Here is a 22,929-nt window from a genome sequence, read left to right as displayed (position 1 = left end):
ACCACTCTTAAGGGAACATTATTGCACACAGATGAGAAAGAACCAGCACAAGAACTCTGACAACTCTAAAAGCCAGAGTGTATTCTTACTTCCAAATGATCATAGTACCTGAATAATGGTTTTCAACCAGAATGGAATGGCTGAAATAGTGTAGAATTCAAATCCGCCTTGCAATTAAGATCATCGAGATTCAGGAAAAGTTGAAACCGAATGTAAAGCATCTAAAGAATGCAGTAAAAATGATTTCATAGATTAAAGACAAAATAGCCATTTTAAGAAAGAACCAAACTGATCTGATAGAGCTGAAAAACTCACTACAAGAATTTCATAAAACAATCAGAAGTATTAAGAGCAGAATAGACCAAGCTCAGAAAGGAATCTCAGAGCTCAAAGCCTGGTTCATTGAATTAACTGAGTGAGACAAAAATAAAGAGAAAAGAATTTTTTAAATGAACAAAACCTCTGATAAATATGGGATTATGTAAGGACACTGAGTCCATGATTCATTGGCATAATGAAAAGGGAGAGAGAGTAAGCAACTTGGAAAACATATTTGAGGATGTTGCCTACAAAAAATTTTCCCACCTCACTAGACAGGTTGACACTCAAATTCAGGAAATTCAAAGAACCTCTGTGAGATACTAATTTATGAATGAAAGATAGTTAGTTGACTCAGTTCTACATGGCTGGGGTTATAAATGAAAGATAGTTAGTTGACTCAGTTCTACATGGCTGGGGAGGCCTCAGGAAACTTACAATTACGGCAGAAGGGGAAGCCAACATCTTCTTCACAAGCTGACAGGAGAGAGAGAAGCATGAAGGGGGAGGAGCCCCTTATAAGACAATCAGATCTTGTGAGAACGCACTATCATGAGAACAGCGTGAAGGAAACTGGCCCCATGATCCAATCACCTCCCACTAGGTCCCTTCCTTGACACATGGGGATTTTGGGGATTACAATTCGAGATGAGATTTGGGTGGGGACACAGAGCCAAACCATATCACCACACAAAATCTCAAGAAAATCAGAGGTTTTTCTTTGAATGAATGAATAAGAGTGATAGATGACTTGCTAGACTAATACAGGAAAAAAGGGAGAGGATCTAAATAAACACTATCAGAAATGACAAAAGAAACATTACCATCAACCATACAGAAATACAAAAAAAACCCTCAGAGACTATTATAAAAACTTCTATGCACACAAACTAGAAAATCTAGAAGAAACGGATAAATTCCTGATTGCATATAAACTTACAAACTCCAAAGACTGAACCAGGAAGACTTTTGAAACCCTGAACAGAACAATAACAAGTTCTGAAATTGAATCAGCAATAAAAAACCTACCAATGAGAAAAATCCCTGACCAGAGAGATTCACAGCTGAATTCTACCAGATGTATAAAGAAGAGCTGGTATGAATTCTACTGAAACTATTGCAAAAAGTCAAGGAGGAAGGACTCCTCTCTAACTCTTCTATGAAGTCAGCATCATTCTGATACCAAAACCCAGCAGAGACGCAATAAAAAGGAAAACTTCAGGCCAATATCCCTGATGAACATAGATACAAAAATTCTCAATAAACTATAAGCAAATCAAATCCAGCAGCACATTATTAGCTAATCTTCCATGATCAACTAAGTATTATTCCTGAAATGCAAGGTTTGTTCAACATACACAAAGCAAAAATTTGGCTAATCACATAAAAGGAACTAAGAACAAAAAGCACCTAATCATCTCAATAGACACAGAAAGTTTTTAAATAAAAACTCAACATACCTTCCGGATAAAAACTCTTAACAAACTAACCATTGGAGATATACACCTCAAAATAATAAAGGCCATTCATGACAGACACACAGTCAGTATCATAATGAATGAGTAAAACCTGGAAGCATTTCCCTTGAGATACAGAACAAGATAAGTATGACCACTCTCACCACTCCTATTCAACATAGTACTGGAAGTGCTAGCCAAGACAACCAGTAAAGAGAAGAAAATAAAAGGCAACCAAACATGAAGAGAGGATGTGAAACTATATCTCTTCACAAATTTAATTCTATACCTAAAATCCCCATCGTCTCTGCCCAAAGTCTCCAGATACTGGTAATCAACTTCAGTAAGGTTTCAGGATACAAATCAATGCATAAAAATTATTAGCATTCCTATACACCAATAACTTCCAAGCTGAGATCCAAATCAAGAATGCAATCCTATTCACATTATTATTTTCCTAGCCACAAAATAAGTAAAATACTTAGGAATACAGCCAACCAGGAAAGTGAAAGATCTCTACAATAAGAATTACAAAACACTGCTGAAAGCAGTTGGAGATGACACAATAGAAAAACATTCCATGCTCATGAACAGGAAGAATCTGTATTGCTAAAATGGCCATACTGCCCAAAGCAATTTATAGATTCATTGTTATTCCTACCAAATTACCAACAATGTTTTTCACAGAATTAGAAAAAACTATTTGAAATTTTTATGGAAACAAAAAAAGCCTGAATAGCCAAATCAATCCAAAGGAAAATAAAGACAGGTGGAGGAATCACATTACTCGACTTTAAAAGTATACTGGTAGCCTACAGTAATAAAAATAACATGTCACTAGTACAAAGACAGACAGATAGACCCATGGAACAGGTCAAAGAACCTACAAATAAAGCCAGACACCTACAATCATCAGATCTTCAACAAAACTGACAATTACAAGCAGTGGTGAACAGACTTCCTATTCAATAAATGGTGCTAGGATAATGGGCTAGCCATAAGCAGAGTATTGGATCTCTCCCCTACCTTTCTCCATATACAAAAATAAACTCAGGATGGATTAAAGACATAAATGTAAACCCTAAAACTATAGAAACCCTAGAAGAAAAACTAGGAAATACCATTCTGGAAATAGGCCCTAGCAAAGACTTCATGATAAAGAGCCCAAAAGCAATTACAACAAAAACAAAATTTGATAAAGGGGACCTAATTAAACTAAAGAGCTTCTGCATAGCAAAAGAAACTATTAACAGAGTAAACAGACAACTTGCAGAATGGGAAAAAATATTTGCAAACTATGCATCTGACAAAGGTCTAATATCCAGAATGTATAAGGAACTTAAGAAGCCAAAAACAAACAACTTCATTTAAAAAGTGAGAAAAGGACATGGACAGACACTTCTTACAAGAAGATATACACGTGGCCAATAAGCATATTTTAAAATGCTCAATATCATGAATCATTAGGGAAATGCACATCAAAAACACAGTGAGATAGCATCTCACACTAGTCAAAATGGCTATTAATTAAAAGTCAAAAAATAGCAGGCAAAGTTACAGAGAAAAGGGAATACTTATACATTGCTGATGACAAAGTAAATTAGGTCAACCAATGTGGAAGGTAGTCTGGATATTTCTCAAAGAACTTAAAATAGAAGTACCATTTGACTCAGCAATCCCATTACTGGGAATATACCCAAAGGAATATAAATTATTCTACCATAAAGACATATGTGTCTTTACTAAATAGCACTATTCACAATAGCAAAGATGTAGAATCAACCCAGATGCACACGAATTGTAGATTGGATAAAGCAAATGTGGTACATATACACTATGGAATACTACACAGTCATAAAAAATAATGAGATCTTGTCCTTTGCAGCAACATGGATGGAGTGGGAGGCCATTATCCTAAGCAAGTTAATGCAGGAATAGAAAACCGAATATCACATATTCTAACTCATAAGTGGGAGCTTAAACATTGAGCACACATGGGCAAAAAGAAGAGAACAATAGACACTGGGTCCTACTTGAGTGTGGAGGCTGGGAGGAGAGTGAGGACTGAAGAACTACCTATTGGGTATGATGTCAATAGCTGGGTGACAAAATTATCTGTACACCAAATCCCCAAGAAATGCAATTTACCCATGTAACAAATCTGCATGTACAAACAAACCACATGTACACCTTGAACTGAAAATAAATGCTGGGAAGAAAAAAGAAGAAACATACCCAAACAGAATAAAGACTATATATGATAAGCCCACATCTTACACTACACTCCAATTGTAGAAAGTTGGAAGACTTTTCTCTAAGATCAGGAACAAGACAAAAATGCCCACTCTATTCAAGGTATAGCATTAGAAGACCTAGCTAGAGTTGTTAGACAAGAGAAAGAAAAGGTGCCCAAACAGGAAAGGAAGAAGTGAAATTGTCTCTGTTTACTAATGACATGACCTTGTATATAGAAAACCCTAAAGGCTCCAACAAAAAGTTAGAAATGAAGTTTATAAATGAATTCAGTAAAGTTGCAGGATACAAAATCAACATTCAAACATTAGTAGTGTTTGTATACACTAACAATAAAATATTTGAAAAAGAAATCAAGAAAACAATCTCATTATGATAGCTACAAAATGCTTAGGAATAAATTTGATAAAGGAGGTGAAAGACCTCCGCACTGAAAACTGTAAAACATTGACGACGTCATTGAAAAAGACACAAATAGATGGAAAGGTATTTTATGTTCGTGGATTGAGAGAATTAATATTGTTACAATGTTCATACTACCCAAAGCAATCTACAGATTTAACATCATCCCTATCAAAATTCCAATGGCATTTGTCACAGAAATAGAAGAAATAATCTTAAAATGTGCACAGAAAGATAAAAGCCCAAATAGCCAAAGTAATCTTGAGGGAAAAAAAGCTGCAGACATAACACTCTTTGATATCAAAATATATTATAAAGCTGTTGTAATAAATACAGAATGGTACTGGCAAAAAAAAAGATGTTAACTATTGAAACAGGATAAAAGCTCAGAAATAAACCCACGTGTTTAAAGCCAATCAACTTTTTACAAGAATGGTGGTTTACAGAGGCTGGCACGGGTGGGGGCTAGTGGAAAGGGGGAGAAGGAGGAAAGGGGAAATGTTAATGAAAGGATACAAAGTCCCAGTTGGACAGTAGGAATAACTTTTAGAGATCTATTGCACAGCATATTGATCATAGTTAATGTATTATACATTTCAGTTGATAAAAGAGTAGATTTTTAATGTTCTCACCAGAAAAAAAGATTACTAGATGAGGTGATGGATATATTAATTAGCTTGATTTAATTTTTCCACAGTGTATTATACATATTTCAAAATATTACATTGTACCCCATAAATGTATATTATTATTTGTTAGTTAAAAATAAGACATAAATTTTAAAAACATCATGTTTTTGAAACATTTATCAAATAAAAAATTAGTTAAGAATAAAGGCTTTTATTTTTAAAAACGAATAATATGGAGGTGGTTCCAAGATGGCCGAATAGGAACAGCTCCAGTCTACAGCTCCCAGCGTGAGCGACGCAGAAGACAGGTGATTTCTGCATTCCCAACTGAGGCACCAGGTTCATCTCACTGGGGCTTGTGGGACAGTGGGGGCAGGACAGTGGGTGCAGCCCACCGAGTGTGACCCGAAGCAGGGCAAGGCATCGCCTCACCCAGGAAACACAAGGGATCAGGGAATTCCCTTTCCTAGCCAAGGGAAGCGGTGAAGGATGGCACCCGGAAAATTGGGTCACTCCCACCCTAATACTGCGCTTTTCCAACGGTCTTAGCAAATGGTACACCAGGAGATTATATCCCGTGCCTGGTTCAGAGGGTCCCACGCCCACAGAGCCTCACTCATTGCTAGCACAGCAGTCTGAGATCGATCTGCAAGGTGGCAGTGAGGCTGGGGGAGGGGCGCCCGCCATTGCTGAGGCTTGAGTAGGTAAACAAAGTGGCCAGGAAGCTCAAACTGGGTGGAGCCCACTGCAGCTCAAGGAGGCCTGCCTGCCTCTGTAGACTCCACCTCTGGGGGCAGGGCATAGCAGAACAAAAGGCAGCAGAAACCTCTGCAGACTTTCCCTGTCTGACAGCTTTGAAGTGAGTAGTGGTTCTCCCAGCATGCAGTTTGAGATCTGAGAATGGACAGACTGCCCCCTCAAGTGGGTCCCTGACCCCCAAGTAGCCTAACTGGGAGGCACCCCCCAGTAGGGGCAGACTGACACCTCACACGGCCGGGTACCCCTCTGAGACAAAACTTCCAGAGGAACGATCAGGCAGCAACATTTGCTGTTCAGCAATATTCACTGTTTGGCAGCCTCTGCTGCTGACACCCAGGCAAACAGGGTCTGGAGTGGACCTCCAGCAAACTCCAACAGACCTGCAGCTGAGGGTCCTGACTGTTAGAAGGAAAACTAACAAACAGAAAGGACATCCACACCAAAATCCCATCTGTACGTCACCATCATCAAAGACTAAAGGTAGATAAAACCACAAAGATGGGGAAAAAACAGAGCAGAAAACCTGAAAATTCTAAAAATCAGAGCGCCTCTCCCGCTCCAAAGGAACGCAACTCCTCGCCAGCAATGGAACATAGCTGGATGGAGAATGACTTTGATGAGTTGAGAGAAGGCTTCAAACGATCAAACTTCTCCAAGCTAAAAGAGGAAATTTGAACCCATTGCAAAGAAGTTAAAAACCTTGAAAATAGATTAGATGAATAGCTAACTAAAATAATCAATGTAGAGAAGTCCTTAAATGACCTGATGGAGCTGAAAAACATGACACAAGAACTACGTGATGAATGCATAAGCTTCAGTAGCCGATTCGATCAACTAGGAGAAAGAGTATCAGTGATTGAAGATCAAATGAATGAAATGAAGTGAGAAGAGAAGTTTAGAGAAAAAAGAGTAAAAAGAAATGAACAAAGCCTCCAAGAAATATGGGACTATGTGAAAAGACCAAATCTACATCGGATTGGTGTATCTGAAAGTGACCCGGAGAGTGGAACCAAGTTGGAAAACACTCTGCAGGATATTATCCAGGAGAAATTCCCCAACCTAGCAAAGCAGGCCAACATTCAAATTCAGGAAATACAGAGAATGCCACAAAGATACTCCTTGAGAAGAGCAACTCCAAGACACATAATTGTCAGATTCACCAAAGCTGAAATGAAAGAAAAAATGTTAAGGGCAGCCAGAGAGAAAGGTCGGGTTACCCACAAAGGGAAGCCCATCAGACTAACAGCTGATCTCTCAGCATAAACTCTACAAGCCAGAAGAGAGTGGGGACCAATATTCAACATTCTTAAAGAAAATTTTCAACCCAGAATTTCATATCCAGCCAAACTAAGCTTCATAAGTGAAAGAGAAATAAAATACTTTACAGACAAGCAAATGCTGAGAGATTTTGTCACCACAGGGCCTGCCCTAAAAGAGCTCCTGAAGAAAGCACTAAACATGGAAAAGAACATCTGGTACCAGCCACTGCAAAAACATGACAAATTGTAAAGACCATCGATGCTAGGAAGAAACTGCATCAACTAACGAGCAAAATAACCAGCTAACATCATAATGACAGGATCAAATTCACACATAACAATATTAACCTTAAATGTAAATGGGCTAAATGCTCCAATTAAAAGACACAGACTAGCAAATTGGATAAAGCGTCAAGAACCATCACCGTGCTGTATTCAGGAGACCCATCTCACATGCAGGGACACACATAGGCTCAAAATAAAGGGATGGAGGAAGATCTACCAAGCAAACAGAAAAGAAAAAGAGGCAGGGGTTGCAATCCTAGTCTCTGATAAAACAGACTTTAAACCAACAAAGATCAAAAGAGACAAAGAAGGCCATTACATAATGGTAAAGGGATCAATTCAACAAGAGCTAACTATCCTAAACATATATGAATCCAATACAGGAGCACCCAGATTCATAAAGCAAGTCCTTAGAGACCTAGGAAGAGACTTAGACTCCCACACAATAATAATGGGAGACTTTAACACCCCACTGTCAACATTAGACAGATCAATGAGACAGAAAATTAACAAGGATATCCAGGAATTGAACTCAGCTCTGCACCAAGCGGACCTAATAGACATCTACAGAACTCTCCACTCCAAATCAACAGAATATACATTCTTCTCAGCACCACATCACACTTATTCCAAAACTGACCACATAGTTGGAAGTAAAGCACTCCTCGGCAAATGTAAAAGAACAGAAATTGTAACAAACTGTCTCTCAGACCACAGTGCAATCAAACTAGAACTCAGGATTAAGGAACTCACTCAAAACCACTCAACTACATGGAAACTGAACAACCTGCTCCTGAATGACTACTGGGTACATAACGAAATGAAGGCAGAAATAAAGATGTTCTTTGAAACCAATAAGAACAAAGACACAACATACCAGAATCTGTGGGACACATTTAAAGCAGTGTGTAGAGGGAAATTTATAGCACTAAATGCCCACAAGAGAAAGCAAGAAAGATCTAAAATTAACACCCTAACATAACAATTAAAAGAACTAGAGAAGCAAGAGCAAACACATTCAAAAGCTAGCAGAAGGCAAGAAATAACTAAGATGAGAGTAGAACTGAAGGAGATAGACACACAAAAAACCCTTCAAAAAAATCAATGAATCCAGGAGATGGTTTTTTGAAAAGATCAACAAAATTGATAGACTGCTAGCAAGACTAATAAGAAAAGAGAGAAGAATCAAATAGATGCAAAAAAATGATAAAGGGGATATCACCACTGATCCCACAGAAATACAAACTACCATCAGAGAATACTATAAACACCTCTATGCAAATAAACTAGAAAATCTAGAAGAAATGGATAAATTCCTGGACGCATACACCCTCCCAAGACTAAACCAGGAAGAAGTTGAATCCCTGAATAGACCAATAACGGGCTCTGAAATTGAGGCAATAATTAATAGCCTACCAACCAAAAAAAGTCCAGGACCAGACGGATTCACAGCCAAATTCTACCAGAGGTACAAGGAGGAGCTGGTACCATTCCTTCTGAAACTATTCCAACCAACAGAAAAAGAGAGAATCATCCCTGACTCATTTTATGAGGCCATCATCATCTTGATACCAAAGCCTGACAGAGACAACAAAAAAAGAGAATTTTAGACCAATATCCCCGATGAACATTGATGCAAAAATCCTTAATAAAATACTGGCAAACTGAATCCAGCAGCACATCAAAACGCTTATCCACCATGACCAAGTGGGCTTCATCCCTGGGATGCAAGGCTCGTTCAATATACACAAATCAATAAACGTAATCCAGCATATAAACAGAACCAAAGACAAAAACCACATGACTATCTCAATAGATGCAGAAAAGGCCTTTGACAAAATTCAACAGCCATTCATGCTAAAAACTCTCAACAAATTAGGTATTGATGGGACGTATCTCAAAATAATAAGAGCTATTTATGACAAACCCACAGCCAATATCATACTGAATGGGCAAAAACTGGAAGCATTCCCTTTGAAAAGTGGCACAAGACAGGGATGCCTTCTCTCACCGCTCCTATTCAACATAGTGTTGGAAGTTCTGGCCAGGGCAATCAGGCAGGAGAAAGAAATAAAGGGTATTCAATTAGGAAAAGAGGAAGTCAAATTGTCCCTGTTTGCAGATGACATGAGTGTATATTTAGAAAAATCCATCATCTCATCCCAAAATCTCCTTAAGCTGATGAGCAACTTCAGCAGTCTCAGGATGCAAAATCAATGTGCAAAAATCACAAGCATTCTTATACACCAATAACAGACAAACGGAGAGTCAAATCATGACTGAACTCGCATTCACAATTGCTTCAAAGAGAATAAAATACCTAGGAAACCAACTTACAAGTGGATGTGAAGGACCTCTTCAAGGAGAACTACAAACCACTGCTCAATGAAATAAAAGAGGACAACAAACAGATGGAAGAACACACCATGCTCATGGATAGGAAGAATCAATATCATGAAAATGGCCATACTGCCCAAGGTAATTTATAGATTCAATGCCATCCCCATCAAGCTACCAATGACATTCTTCACAGAATTGGAAAAAACTACTTTAAAGTTCATATGGAACCAAAAAAGGGCTCACATTGCCAAGACAATCCTAAGCCAAAAGAACAAAGCTGGAGACATCATGCTACCTGACTTCAAACTATACTACAAGGCTATAGTAACCAAAACAGCATGGTACTGGTACCAAAACAGAGATATAGACCAATGGAACAGAACAGAGCCCTCAGAAATAATGCCACACATCTACAACCATCTGATCTTTGACAAACCTGACAAAAACAAGAAATGGGGAAAGGATTCCCTATTCAATAAATGGTACTGGAAAAACTGGCTAGCCATATGTAGAAAGCTGAAACTGGATCCCTTCCTTACACCTTATACAAACATTAATTCAAGATGGATTAAAGCCTTAAATGTTAGATGTAAAACCATAAAAACCCTAGAAGAAAACCTAGGCAATATCATTCAGGACATAGGCATGGGCAAGGACTTCATGTCTAAAACACCAAAAGCAATGGCAACAAAAGCCAAAATAGACAAATGGGATCTAATTAAACTAAAGAGCTTCTACACAGCAAAAGAAACTACCATCAGATTGAACAGGCAACCTATAGAATGGGAGAAAATCTTTGCAATCTACTTATCTGACAAAGGGCTAATATCCAGAATCTACAAAGAACTCGAACAAATTTACAAGAAAAAAACAACCCCATCAAAAAGTGGGCAAAGGATATGAACAGACACTTCTCAAAAGAAGACATTTATGCAGCCAAAAAACACATGAAAAAATGCTCACCATCACTGGCTATCAGAGAAATGCAAATCAAAACCACAATGAGATACCATCTCACACCAGTTAGAATGGCAATCATTAAAAAGTCAGGAAACAAGAGGTGCTGGAGAGGATGTGGAGAAATAGGAACACTTTTACACTGTTGGTGGGACTGTAAACTAGTTCAACCATTGTGGAAGTCAGTGTGGCAATTCCTCAAGGATCTAGAACTAGAAATACCATTTGACCCAGCCATCCCATTACTGGGTATATACCCAAAGGATTATAAATCATGCTGCTATAAAGACACATGCACACATATGTTTATTGTGGCACTATTCACAATAGCAAAGACTTGGAACCAACCCAAATGTCCATCAATGATAGACTGGATTAAGAAAATGTGGCACATGTATACACCATGTAATACTATGCAGCCATAAAAAATGATGAGTTCATGTCCTTTGTAGGGACATGGATGAAGCTGGAAACCATCATTCTTAGCAAACTATCACAAGGACAAAAAACCAAACACTGCATGTTCTCACTCATAGGTAGGAATTGAACAATGAGAACATTTGGACACAGGAAGGGGAACATCACACACCAGGGCCTGTCATGGGGTGGGGGAATGGGGAGGGATAGCATTAGGAGATATACTTAATATAAATGACGAGTTAATGGTTGCAGCACACCAACATGGCGCATGTATACATATGTAGCAAACCTGCACGTTGTGCACATGTACCCTAGAACTTAAAGTATAATAAAAAAAAGGAATAATATTGGATCAAAAAATTTAACTGGTAACATTACAATGTTAAAAGTAAATTGGAAATGTCAATATAAATTTATGACCTTAAAATATAAATTTCACAGTATTTATTTTATAGCTCTTAATTTCGAACTGGTGTAGAGCAAATTGTCATCTTTAATAAACATTAAAGTTGCCCAAATCATGATTTCTAATACTTTGTTTTTCTACTGAAAGGATGGCTACTTTAAGAAATTTCTGATTTTATGTCTGGACCAGGAAGGAACAAGAAGACCCTTAAATAATTTTTGTGATAGAAAGAAAAACAGTAATTTAAGTGATGTCTAAACAAAACAAGACCTAACCTAAAGGAAATTCTAAGTGACCAGCTTTTACCATTTGAGCATCAAAAGAAGAAAACTTGATTGTGGTTGATTAAAATATATTGAAAATACACGAGTCTCTATTGAAATATACAAAAATAAATAAATGAATAAAACAGAGAGAAAGAGAGAAGCACTAAACATTGTTAAGCAGAATACCATGCACTGGTATCCACCTCTGGGATAGAGGCACCATATAGCAGTCACTAATCTGAGGAAAGGACTCTAAATACCTCACTAATTTCTTCTAAGATTCTTATGTTTGGCAGAAAATTTTGTACAAAACAATCTGCCGGAGATCTGCAAGTGTTCTTGACTCTGGCAGGGGGCTCATAGAAGACCCAGATGCATAGTAGTCACACTGCTACCACTTTCCTTCTGAAGCCTAGTCTTTTAAAACCGAATACTCTCACAAGTCACGCAGCCATTACTCCCTGGTAGGCAGTAAGAATGAAAATAAGTTGAGCCAGTGCCCCATGGATCAAGGAAGCTGCCCAGGATGGATAGGGTCTTGTCTTTGTGTGCCACATTGTACCACAGGTGAGAGACCCCAAAAGCATTTTGCTCTGGGTTTTATATTCTGGGTGTAACTGGGATTGCTGTGCTAAAGCTTTGTGGACATCCTATTCTAGGAGAGATGAGGACAATGACTGGGCTGTTCTGTACAGTTCCTCCTTATCACTCGATGTTGCATTCTTGGTACATCCTACACAAGACTTGCAAGCAAGAGGGTAAAGTGTAGGATTGGCCAAGGTTACATAGAAACTTGTCATTCTGCAAATATAATTGCATAACTTTAATAAAGTTAACTAGAATATTTTTGTTATAATTCAATTTTGTTAGTCATGCTATGACTGTGAATTCAATTATTTTATTTTAAAAGAATACATAAATGGGATACATAAATACATCAATCAGAAGGCACTTTATACCTCAAGATGTAAGGAGTAGAATTAACAATGCTATAAGCTGTGACCCTAAGTCACACCAAATTGTAAAAAACATACAAAATTAAATGTTATTTAAAGATTACCAAGTGTCCTAAAATAGTGAAAGTATCAAAGATTCCATCAGCTCCAATGTCATTAATATAAAAATCACATATTTATATGCATTATCAATGGAAATGATATTGCCACCACTCAGGAAATAATTGGTTCTTAGGCGTCAAAAATATACATACACTATATAAACAAAGTACAGTATATTTGTGGTATTAAAATTCACTTGAGTGATTAGAAAAAAACTACCATGAAAGGCTTAGAAAGGCAATAATGAAAATAAGGTTTTGTCTATGAACACGAGCTAGAAAACCTAAAAGAAATTGATAAATTCCTGGATGCATACAACCTCCCAAGATTGAACGAGAAAGAGATTGAATCCCTGAACAGACCAATAGTGAGTTTTAAAGTTGAATCAGTAATTAAAGTTCTACCAATCAGAGGAAGCCCGGGAAGTGACAGATTCACAGCCAAATTCTACTAGATATATAAGGAAGAGCTGGTACCATTTCTGCTGAAACTATTAAAAAAACATTGAGGAGGAGGGAATCCTTCCTAACTCATTCTATGAGTACTCATCCTGATACTAAAACCTGGCAGAGACACAACAGCTCCAAAACAACTTTAGGCCAAGATCCTTAATGAACACAAATGCAAAAAATCTTTAACTACTAGCAAACCAAATCCAGCAGCACATCAAAAAGCTAACCCACCATGATCAAGTAGGCTTTACCCATGAATGTAAGGTTGGCTCAACACACGTTAATCAATAAATGTTATTCCACATAAACAGAAGAAAAAACACACGATAATCTGAATAGATGCAGAAGGTACTTTCTATAAAATTCAATATCTCTTTATGTTAAAAGCCCTCAACAAACTAGACATTGAAGGAACATACCTCAGAATAGTAAGGGCCATTTATGACTATCTGACAGCAAACATCATATTGAATGAAAAAAAGCTGGAAGCATTCTCCTTGAAAACTGAAACAAGACAAGGATACCCTCTCTCACCACTCCTATTCAACATAGTACTGGAAGTCTTAGCCAGAACAGTCAAGCAAGAGAAAGAAATAAAAGGCATCCACATAGTAAGCCAGGAGAACAAACTATTTCTGTTTGAAGATGATATAATTAAATACCTAGAAAATTCCATAGTTTATGCCCCAAAGCTACTTGATCTGATAAACAACTTCCGCAAAGTTTTGGCATACAAAATCAGTGTACAAAAATCAGTAATGCATACACCAGGCGCAGCGGCTCACACCTATAATCCCAGCAGTTTGGGAGGCTGAGGTCAGCGGATCATTTGAGGTCAGGATTTCAAGACCAGCCTGGCCAGTCTGGTGAAACCCTGTCTCTACTAAAAATACAAAAAAAGTTAGCCAAGTGTGGTGGCACACACCTGTAATCCCAGCTACTCAGGAGGCTGAGGCAAGAGAATCACTTGAACCCAGGAGGTGGAGGTTGTGGTGAACCAAGATCATGCCACTGCACACCAGCCTGGGCAAAAAATCGAGACTTCATTTAGAAAAAAAAAATTAGTAGTATTTTTATACACCAACAAGATCCAAGCTAAGAGCCAAATCAAGAATGCAGTCCCATTCACAATAGCCTCAAAATGAATAAAATATTTAGGAATATAGCTAACCAAATAAGTGAAAGACCTCTATAACAATTACAAAACACTGATAAAAGAAATTAGAGACAACACAAACAAATGGAGAAACATTCCATGCTCATGTATAGGAAAAATCAATATTGTTAAAATGGCCATATGGCCCAGAGCAATTCATAGGTTCAATGCTATTTGTATCAAAGTACCAACATTTTTCACAAAAGTATAAAAAAACTATTTAAAAATTCATATGGAACCAAAAAAGAGCCTGAATAGCCAAGAGAATCCTAACCAAAAAGAACAAAGCTGCAGGCATCACATTATTAGACTATACTACAAAGCTACAATACACAAAACAGCACAGTACTGGTACAAAACAGACACATAGATCAAAGGAACAGAATAAAGAGCCCAGAAATAATGCCACACACAACCATCTGATATTTCATAAAATTTACCAAAAACAAGCAATGTGGAAAAGACTCCCTATTCCATAAATGGTGCTGTGATAACTGGCTAGCCATATGCAGGAGATTGAACCTGGACCCTTTCCTTACATCATATACAAAAAATAACTCATGATGGAGTAAAGGCTTAAATCAAAAATCAAAATCTATAAAAATGCTGGAAGATAACCTAGGAAATAGATTTCTGGCTGTAGGACCTGGTAAAGACTTTATGATGAAGATGCCAAAAGCAATTGCAGCAAAAACAACAATTAACAAATGGGATCTAATTAAACTAAAGAGCTTGTGCACAGCAAAAGAAACTATCAATAGAGTAAACAACCTACATCATGGGAGAAAATATTTGGAAAGTATGCATTCAACAGAGGTGTAAAATCCAGACTATAGGAAACTTAAATTACAAGCAGAAAACAAACAACCCCATTAGAAAGTGGGCAAAGGACATGAGCAGACATTTTTCCAAGGAAGACATTCATGCAACGAACAAGTACATGACAAAATGCTCAATGTCATTAATTATGAGATAAATGCAAATAAAAACTACAATGAGATATCATCTCACACCAGTCAGAATGGCTACTGTTTCAAAAGTCAAAAAATAACAGATGCTAGTGAGCTTATGGAGAAAAGGGAATGCTTATGCACTGCTGGTGGAAATGTAAGATAGTTCAGCCATTGTGGAAAGCAATTTTGTGATTCCTCAAAAAATTTAAAACAGAATTATTTGATTCAGTAATCCCATTGGAAATGTACCCAAAGGAATCTAAATCATTCTACCATAAGGACACATGCATGTGTATGTTCATGGTGGAACTATTTGCAATAACAAAAACATGGATTCAACCTAAATGCTAACCAATGGTACTACGGATAAAGAAAATTTGGTAAATATACACCATGGAATACTGTGCAGCCATAAAGAAGAATGAGATCATGGCCTTTGCAGCAAGTCTAGATATCATTGAGGGTAGGAGGATGGTGAAGATTGAAAAACTACCTATCAGATACTATGCTTATTTACCTGAGTGATGAAATAATTTGTACACCAAATTCCTATGACATGCAATTTACCTATATAGCAAATCTGCACATGTACCCCCTGAACCTAAAATAAAAGTTTTTTAAAAAGATGATTGGATTAAAAAATGTGATATCGACAATGATATACTATTCAGCCATAAAAAAGAATGAAATCATGCTTTTTGCAGCAACATGGATGGAACTCAAGGCCATTATCTTTTTTTTTTTTTTTTTTTTTTTTTGTGAGATGGAGTCTCGCTCTGTCGCCCAGGCTGGAGTGCAGTGGCGGGATCTCGGCTCACTGCAAGCTCCGCCTCCCGGGTTCACGCCATTCTCCTGCCTCAGCCTCCCAAGTAGCTGGGACTACAGGCGCCCGCCACTACGCCCGGCTAATTTTTTGTATTTTTAGTAGAGACGGGGTTTCACCGTTTTAGCCGGGATGGTCTCGATCTCCTGACCTCATGATCCGCCCGCCTCGGCCTCCCAAAGTGAAGGCCATTATCTTAAGTGAAAGATTCACATGCATAAAAATAAATATCACATATCCTCACTTATGACTGGGAGCTAAATAATGAGCACACATGCAGGTAGAATGTGCAATGATAGTAAGAGAATTGGAATGGTGAGCAGATGAATGGGGTATGATTGAGAAATTACTTAATGGGTACAATGTACATTGAGTTACGGATCCCATAAAAGCCCTGACCTCACCACCATGCAATTTATACATGTAACAAAGCAACACCTGTACTGCCTTCAATTTATACAAATAAAAAAACAAATAATCAAAGGGCATAAATAGACATTTCTCAAAAGACATACAAATGGCTAACAGATATATGAAAAAATGCTCATCATCATTAATAATCAAAACTGCAAATAAAAACCATAATGAGATATTATCCTACCCCAGTTAGAATGGCTAATATTAAAAAGACAAAGTAAAACAGGTTGTGGTGAAGATACAGGCAAAAGAGAACTCTTTCTTATACACTGTTGTTTGGAATGTAAATTAGTAAATTAGTACAACCACTATAGAAAACAGTATGGAGGGCCAGGTTTGGTGGCTCACACCTGTAATCCCAGCACTCTGGGAGGCTGAGGTGAGTGGATCACCTGAGTTCAGGAGTTCAAGACCAGCCTGACCAACATGGTGAAACCCCATCTCTTTTAAAAATACAAAAAATTAGCCAGGCATGGTGGCAGGCACCTGTAATCCCAGCTACTTGGGAGGCTGGGGAAGGAGAATTGCTTGAACCAGGGAGGTGGAGGTTGCAGTGAGCCGAGATTGCGCCATTGCGCTCCAGCCTGGGCGACAAGAGCGAGACTGTCTCAGAAAGAAAGAAAGAGAAGAAAGGAAGGAAGGAAGGAAGGAAGGAAGGAAGGAAGGAAGGAAGGAAGGAAGGAAGGAAGGAAGGAAAGAGAGAGAAAGAAAGAAAGGCAGTATGGAGATTTCTCAAAAAACTAAAAATAGAATTACCATGTGACTCAACAACTCCACTACTGGGTATTTATCCAAAGAAAAAGAAATCAGCATATCAAAGGCATACCAGCACCCCTATGTTTGTTACAACACCATTCATAATAGCCAAGACATGGAACCAAACTAAGTGCTCACCAATGGACAAATGGATAAACAAAATGTCATGTATATACACAGTGCATTACTATTCATCCATAAAAAGGAATGAAATCATGTCATTTGCATCAAGATAGATGGAACTGGAAGTTATTATGTTGAGTAAAATAACTCAGGCACAGAAAGACAAATACATGTTTGCACTCATGTATGGGAGATAAAAAAGTTGATCACATGGATATAGTGAATGGAATAATTGATAGCAGGGACTGGAAAGGATGCATGGGTAAGGAGATGAAGAGAGATTGATTAATGAGTACAAATATGCAATAAAATAGAAGGAATAAGTTCTAATGTTTGATAGCAGAGAAGGGTGACTATAGTTAACAAGAGTGTATTATATATTTCAAAGTAGCTAAAAGAGATAACTTGCAGTCTTTCCAGCAAATATAAATGATAAATACTTGATGTATGGATACCCTAAATACCTTAACTTGATCATTACACATTTCAAGTATGTAACAAAATTTCACATGTACCCTATAGATATGTACCAATATAATGTATCAATAAATTTTTTTAAAAATACAGTTGAAACAGGAAAGTTCCCTGATCCCCCTCTCAGGATGTATGACAGGGGTGTGGCTCATCTGCTCAACTGCCTTGCACTCAAACCCCTTATGAGAGGGGGAGCACGCAGATGGCAGGTGCAGGAACCAGGGCGAGCACTTATGGGCTCTGTCCCCATGGCAACATCTAGGGGTGGGTACCGGCAACTCCCAAAGCCTAAGTAGGCATGTGTTAAAGCGAGCTCTTTTAGCTTTGCCACCTGCCGATGGCTTAGGTGTTAACCAGCTCAGTGCCCTCTTGGCACCTGGGCTCTTGTCTGACATCCAGGAAGAATCAGGTCACACATTGACTTGAAGGATGATGAATGTGGGGGCTTTATTGAGTGGTGGAGGTGGCTCTCAGTGGGATGGATGGGAAGCTTGAAAGGGGATGGAATGGAAAGTTGATCTTCCCCTGGAGTTTGGCCATCCTGAGGCCAATCTCCTCTCTGATTGTCCCCAGCTGAACTCCTCTCAACGTTTAGATGCTCCTTTTCTTTTCTTCTCTGCCATGTTGTTCTTCTGCTCCTCTGCTCTTCTGTTCTTCTGTTCATATCTCATGGAAATGAACAGAAAAGGGTTTGGGGTTTATCTGTGTACAGGATAGGTAGGCCAAAAGGCAACTTTTGGGCATGAAAACAGGAATGCCTCTTCCCATTTAGGGCCACGGGTTTTCAGGCTTGAGGATGGGGCCTTTGCCAGGGAACCGCCCTCTTCTACCCAGTATTTTCTTGCCTTCTGTCCATTTCACAATGAACTAGAACTAAAAACATCCAATAGAGGGTGATAAAATAAAATAATTTTAAAAATCATTAAGGAAAGATAAAGTAATACAGGTGGAACAATTTTTTTTTAAATAAACAAACAGCTAATAGACACAAACCCAGCCAAATTAATAACTACATTCAATATAAATACACTGAGTATGCCAATTACAGGACAGATATTGTCAGAATGAGTCTTAGGTGTCTATTGCTGTATATAGCAAACCACATCAAACTTAGTGGCTTCTAAAGCAATTATTTTATATGCTTACAATTCTGTGACTTAACAATTTGTACTGGGTTCAGATGGTTGGTTCTTATACTGGTCTCACTTGTGGACATTCATGTAGCTGCAGACATTTCACACCTGAGCTAGGACTATATGAGTTAATATGGACTGACTTACATATCTGGCAGTTGGTGCTGTCAATTGGGCTATATCTTTCTGAGACTCACGCTGCTTTGAAATGCAGAATTATTCAAAATAGACAAGAGCCACAAGGCCTCTTGAGAAGTAGGCTTAGGAGTCTAACCATGTCACGTATATCACTTTCTCTTGGTCAAGGCAAATCATAAGATTATTTCAGCTTTTGCCAGGTTCAGTGGCTCATGCCTGTAATCTCAGCACTTTGAGAGGATGAGGCAGGAGAATTGCTGAGCCCAGGAGTTCAAGCCTAGCCTGAACAACATGGTGAGACCCTCATCACTACCAAAAAAAAAAAAAAAAAAAAAAGCTGGGTTTAATGGTGTTCATCTGTAGTTCCATCTACTTGGGAAGCTGAGACAGAAGGATTGCTTGAGCCCTGGAGGTCAAAGCTGCAGTGGTTGTTTGTGCCACTGCACTCCAGCCTGGGTGACAGGGCAAGACCACGTCTTAAAGAAAAAAATCTCAGCTTTAAAAAGTAGAGAAATATGTTCCATCTATTGATAGGAGATGCTACAAAGAATTTGTAGCCATTTGCAAACTGTAACAGTCTGTACTCTGGCTACAAATAATTTCTATATCCCACATGCAAAATATGCATATTTGGTCCAAGTAAACACAAGGTGTCATCTGATTATGGCATCAGGCTCAAAATCCATGATCTAGTGATTCGCACTGAGTCTAGATATCATTGAGCCTTTTTGGGCATAACTCCTCAAGTGTGGCTCTTCTCAATTACAGGAATTTTGAACTAAAAAGACAACTTATGTGCCATACACACTACCAATTTACAATAGTGAGACAGGGAGATGATAACTGCAATAGACACTTGCCAATAAAATGAGAAAACTATAGCAGTTGCTGTCCCATAGCTATTCTGAAATTCCACTAGGCAAATACTGTCAGGTTTCCCTACACTGAGCCAGAGATGTTCTGTCACTGGGGTCTGGTTCTGCTTCTGGAGTGGTTCCTTATTCCATAGCTCTCTGTGGAACCTGGTTCTCTTATCTGGGTTCTGGGCTCTGTCATCTGAGACATTTTTTCTAGAAGAAATTGACTATATTTGCAGCTAAATAGTTTTCTTAGTTTGCTTTCTGTTCATACAAATGTGGGGGTCTGAGATCCCTTTTTCATTTTGAACCATCTTAGTCCCTTTTAATCTAAACTGATAATGTCTTTTCTAGTAGTGTGTCTAAAAAAAATTTTTAGTAGATTGCAATGAGTCATACTAGGTTTATTCTATACCCCAATAGCAATAACCATACTTTTTTTTCTGAGACAGACTACTCTTTAGTGTAGGTATATCAGGTTGCTGTTGAAACATGACCTTAAATTCTTAGGAACACTTTGAGTGGCCAAAAACATCTACTAAGAACTGGCTTAATCTCTCAGAGGTTCTAGCAAAGGATCACACTCTTGATTGAATATGTATCCTGAGTCTATTTCTCACTTTGAGAAGAGTTTACCAGCTGAATAGATAAAAGATAAGAAATTACTTTATTTTCCAGCACAGTAAGTCCTTGGAACTCTATATTTTCTCTGATTTCTCCTTGAAAACAAAATAATTCTTTTCTTAGTTCATCTCTCTGTTTCTGTACCTTTTGTGAAGATGTAAGAAGCCAGTTGATTCTTGCAATGGTCTTTCTATAAATCCTCCTAGATTCACAAATTATTAGGTGTATTTTCTATTTTCCAAGATTTTGTAGGCAACAGAAAAAAAACCTCTCTTCATTTCTCTACCCACTCACACAAAGAAGTAGAACTAAAAAACCCAATGGAGGGAATAAAATGAAAAGCTAAACAAACTCATTAATCCAAAAGAAAACAAGAAAGGCAGAAAAAAAGTAACAAAGTATAGATTGGATAAATTAAAAAGTTACAAGATGATAGAAACCCAGCCAAATTAGTAATTACATTAAATGTAAATGGACTAAATATGCCAATTAAAAGATAATGTCAAAATGAGTCTTAGTTTTTTATTGCTATATAACAAACCATCCCAAACTTAATGGCTTCAAAAAGCAGTTATTTTATATGATTACAATTTTGTGATGTAACAATTTGCACTTGACTCAGATGCCCAGTTTTGCCAATTGTTTCATATTACATATATGAGTCACTATTTTCCCAGTCCCAATAGCATTTTCCTCACTACATTTTGGCCTCTACCTATTGCCTAGTCCCAAAGCCCGTGAAACATTTTACTTTTTGTTGTGCAGCACCCAATTTCCAGATATCATTTTCTGATTCAGTTATCTTTGTCTGCATAGCAAATGACTCCCAAATTTAGCTTGAAACAACAAAAATTTTATATCCTCAAAAGTTCTGTGGGTCATTAGTTTGTATGAAGATTAGTTGGAATATTCTTGCACTGATCTCAACGGGTTCTTTCATGCAGCTGAAGTTATCTAGCTTCTTTTTATAGCTCTATGTATTCCAAAATGCAAGAGCATAACCTGCAAGGCATCTTGAAGCCAAGGCTTGAAAATTCAATATTTCACTTTTGACACACTATATTGAACAAAGGATAGTGGCCCAGATTCAGAAAGTGTTTTAGGGGGAGAAAAAAATGGCAGACAGGAGGCAGAACTAACTTGCAGCTCCCACTCAGATGGACAGAACAGCATGCGGAGACTCACATTGTGAACTTTTGCTCCAAGAACTACTGCAGGAACATACCAGGAAAACAAAAGAATTCATGGACCCTTTGAGATAAGTGGCTTGCCACTGCAAACTCCATGAGACAGCCAAAAAACTGTGAGTGCCCAAAGTGTGAGAGGGGGAAATTTCACCTCTGAACACACATCCTCCCTGGGGAACCTGAAAATCCAGATCACAGGGATGTAACCTCACCTAGAGCTGAAATAACTTTAGAAACCCGAGTGAAATATAAAAGTAAAAGAAACAGTGGGAAGGGCCCTGTGAGAACTAATCCCTAGGGAAGCCCAAGGAAGACATTTCTGGCTTTATCTCACTTGAGTTTCGGGGGAGGGCTGCCAGTGGAATTGGGGAAGGACCACAGAAAGAAGAAAACTCCCAGCTGAACTTTGTAATAATTTTGACTGAGCATGAATTTTTCTGGGCTGAATCTGGGGTTGGGGGGGATGAACAGGAAGTGCAGATATGAGCACAGAAGCCATGGCAGGTGGGGACGGGTGGGACCTGAAAGCCCTGCTTGCATTCTCAATAGGGAGGCTTATAGCCTGGAACAAGCTCTCAGCCCTGCTTACCAACTTCCTGGATATAGGCTTTGTGCTGCTGGTGAGGCATGGTGGGAGTGAGACTGGCCTTGCTGGCTGAGTGGGAGCAGGGTGAGTCCTGTCACTGCCAACTTTTTCCCACTTTCCTGGTGACTGTATGATGTAGCAAAGGTAGCCATAATCTCCCTGGAAACATAACTCCATTGGCCTGAGGCTCACACCCCCATTCCCCACACCAGCTGCAGCAAGCCCTGCCCAAGGAGAGTCTGAGCTCAGACATGCCTAACCCTGCCCCCACCTGATGGTCTTTCTCTACCTACCCTGCTAGCTGAAGACAAAAGACAGAATCTCTTGGGAGTTCTATGGCCCTGCCCATCATCTGGGAAACCTGAATACTTATCTAGGTGACCTTAGGGCAAGCTTATATGCCCCCATACTATGGCAGCTGATCCTCTCTTGAAAGTACAT

This window comes from Homo sapiens, chromosome 1 (genome assembly GCF_000001405.40).
Source record: "Homo sapiens chromosome 1, GRCh38.p14 Primary Assembly".
NCBI classification, from domain to species: domain Eukaryota; kingdom Metazoa; phylum Chordata; class Mammalia; order Primates; family Hominidae; genus Homo; species Homo sapiens.
The sequence above is the reverse complement of the archived record's forward strand: the minus strand, read 5'-3'. Positions refer to the sequence as shown.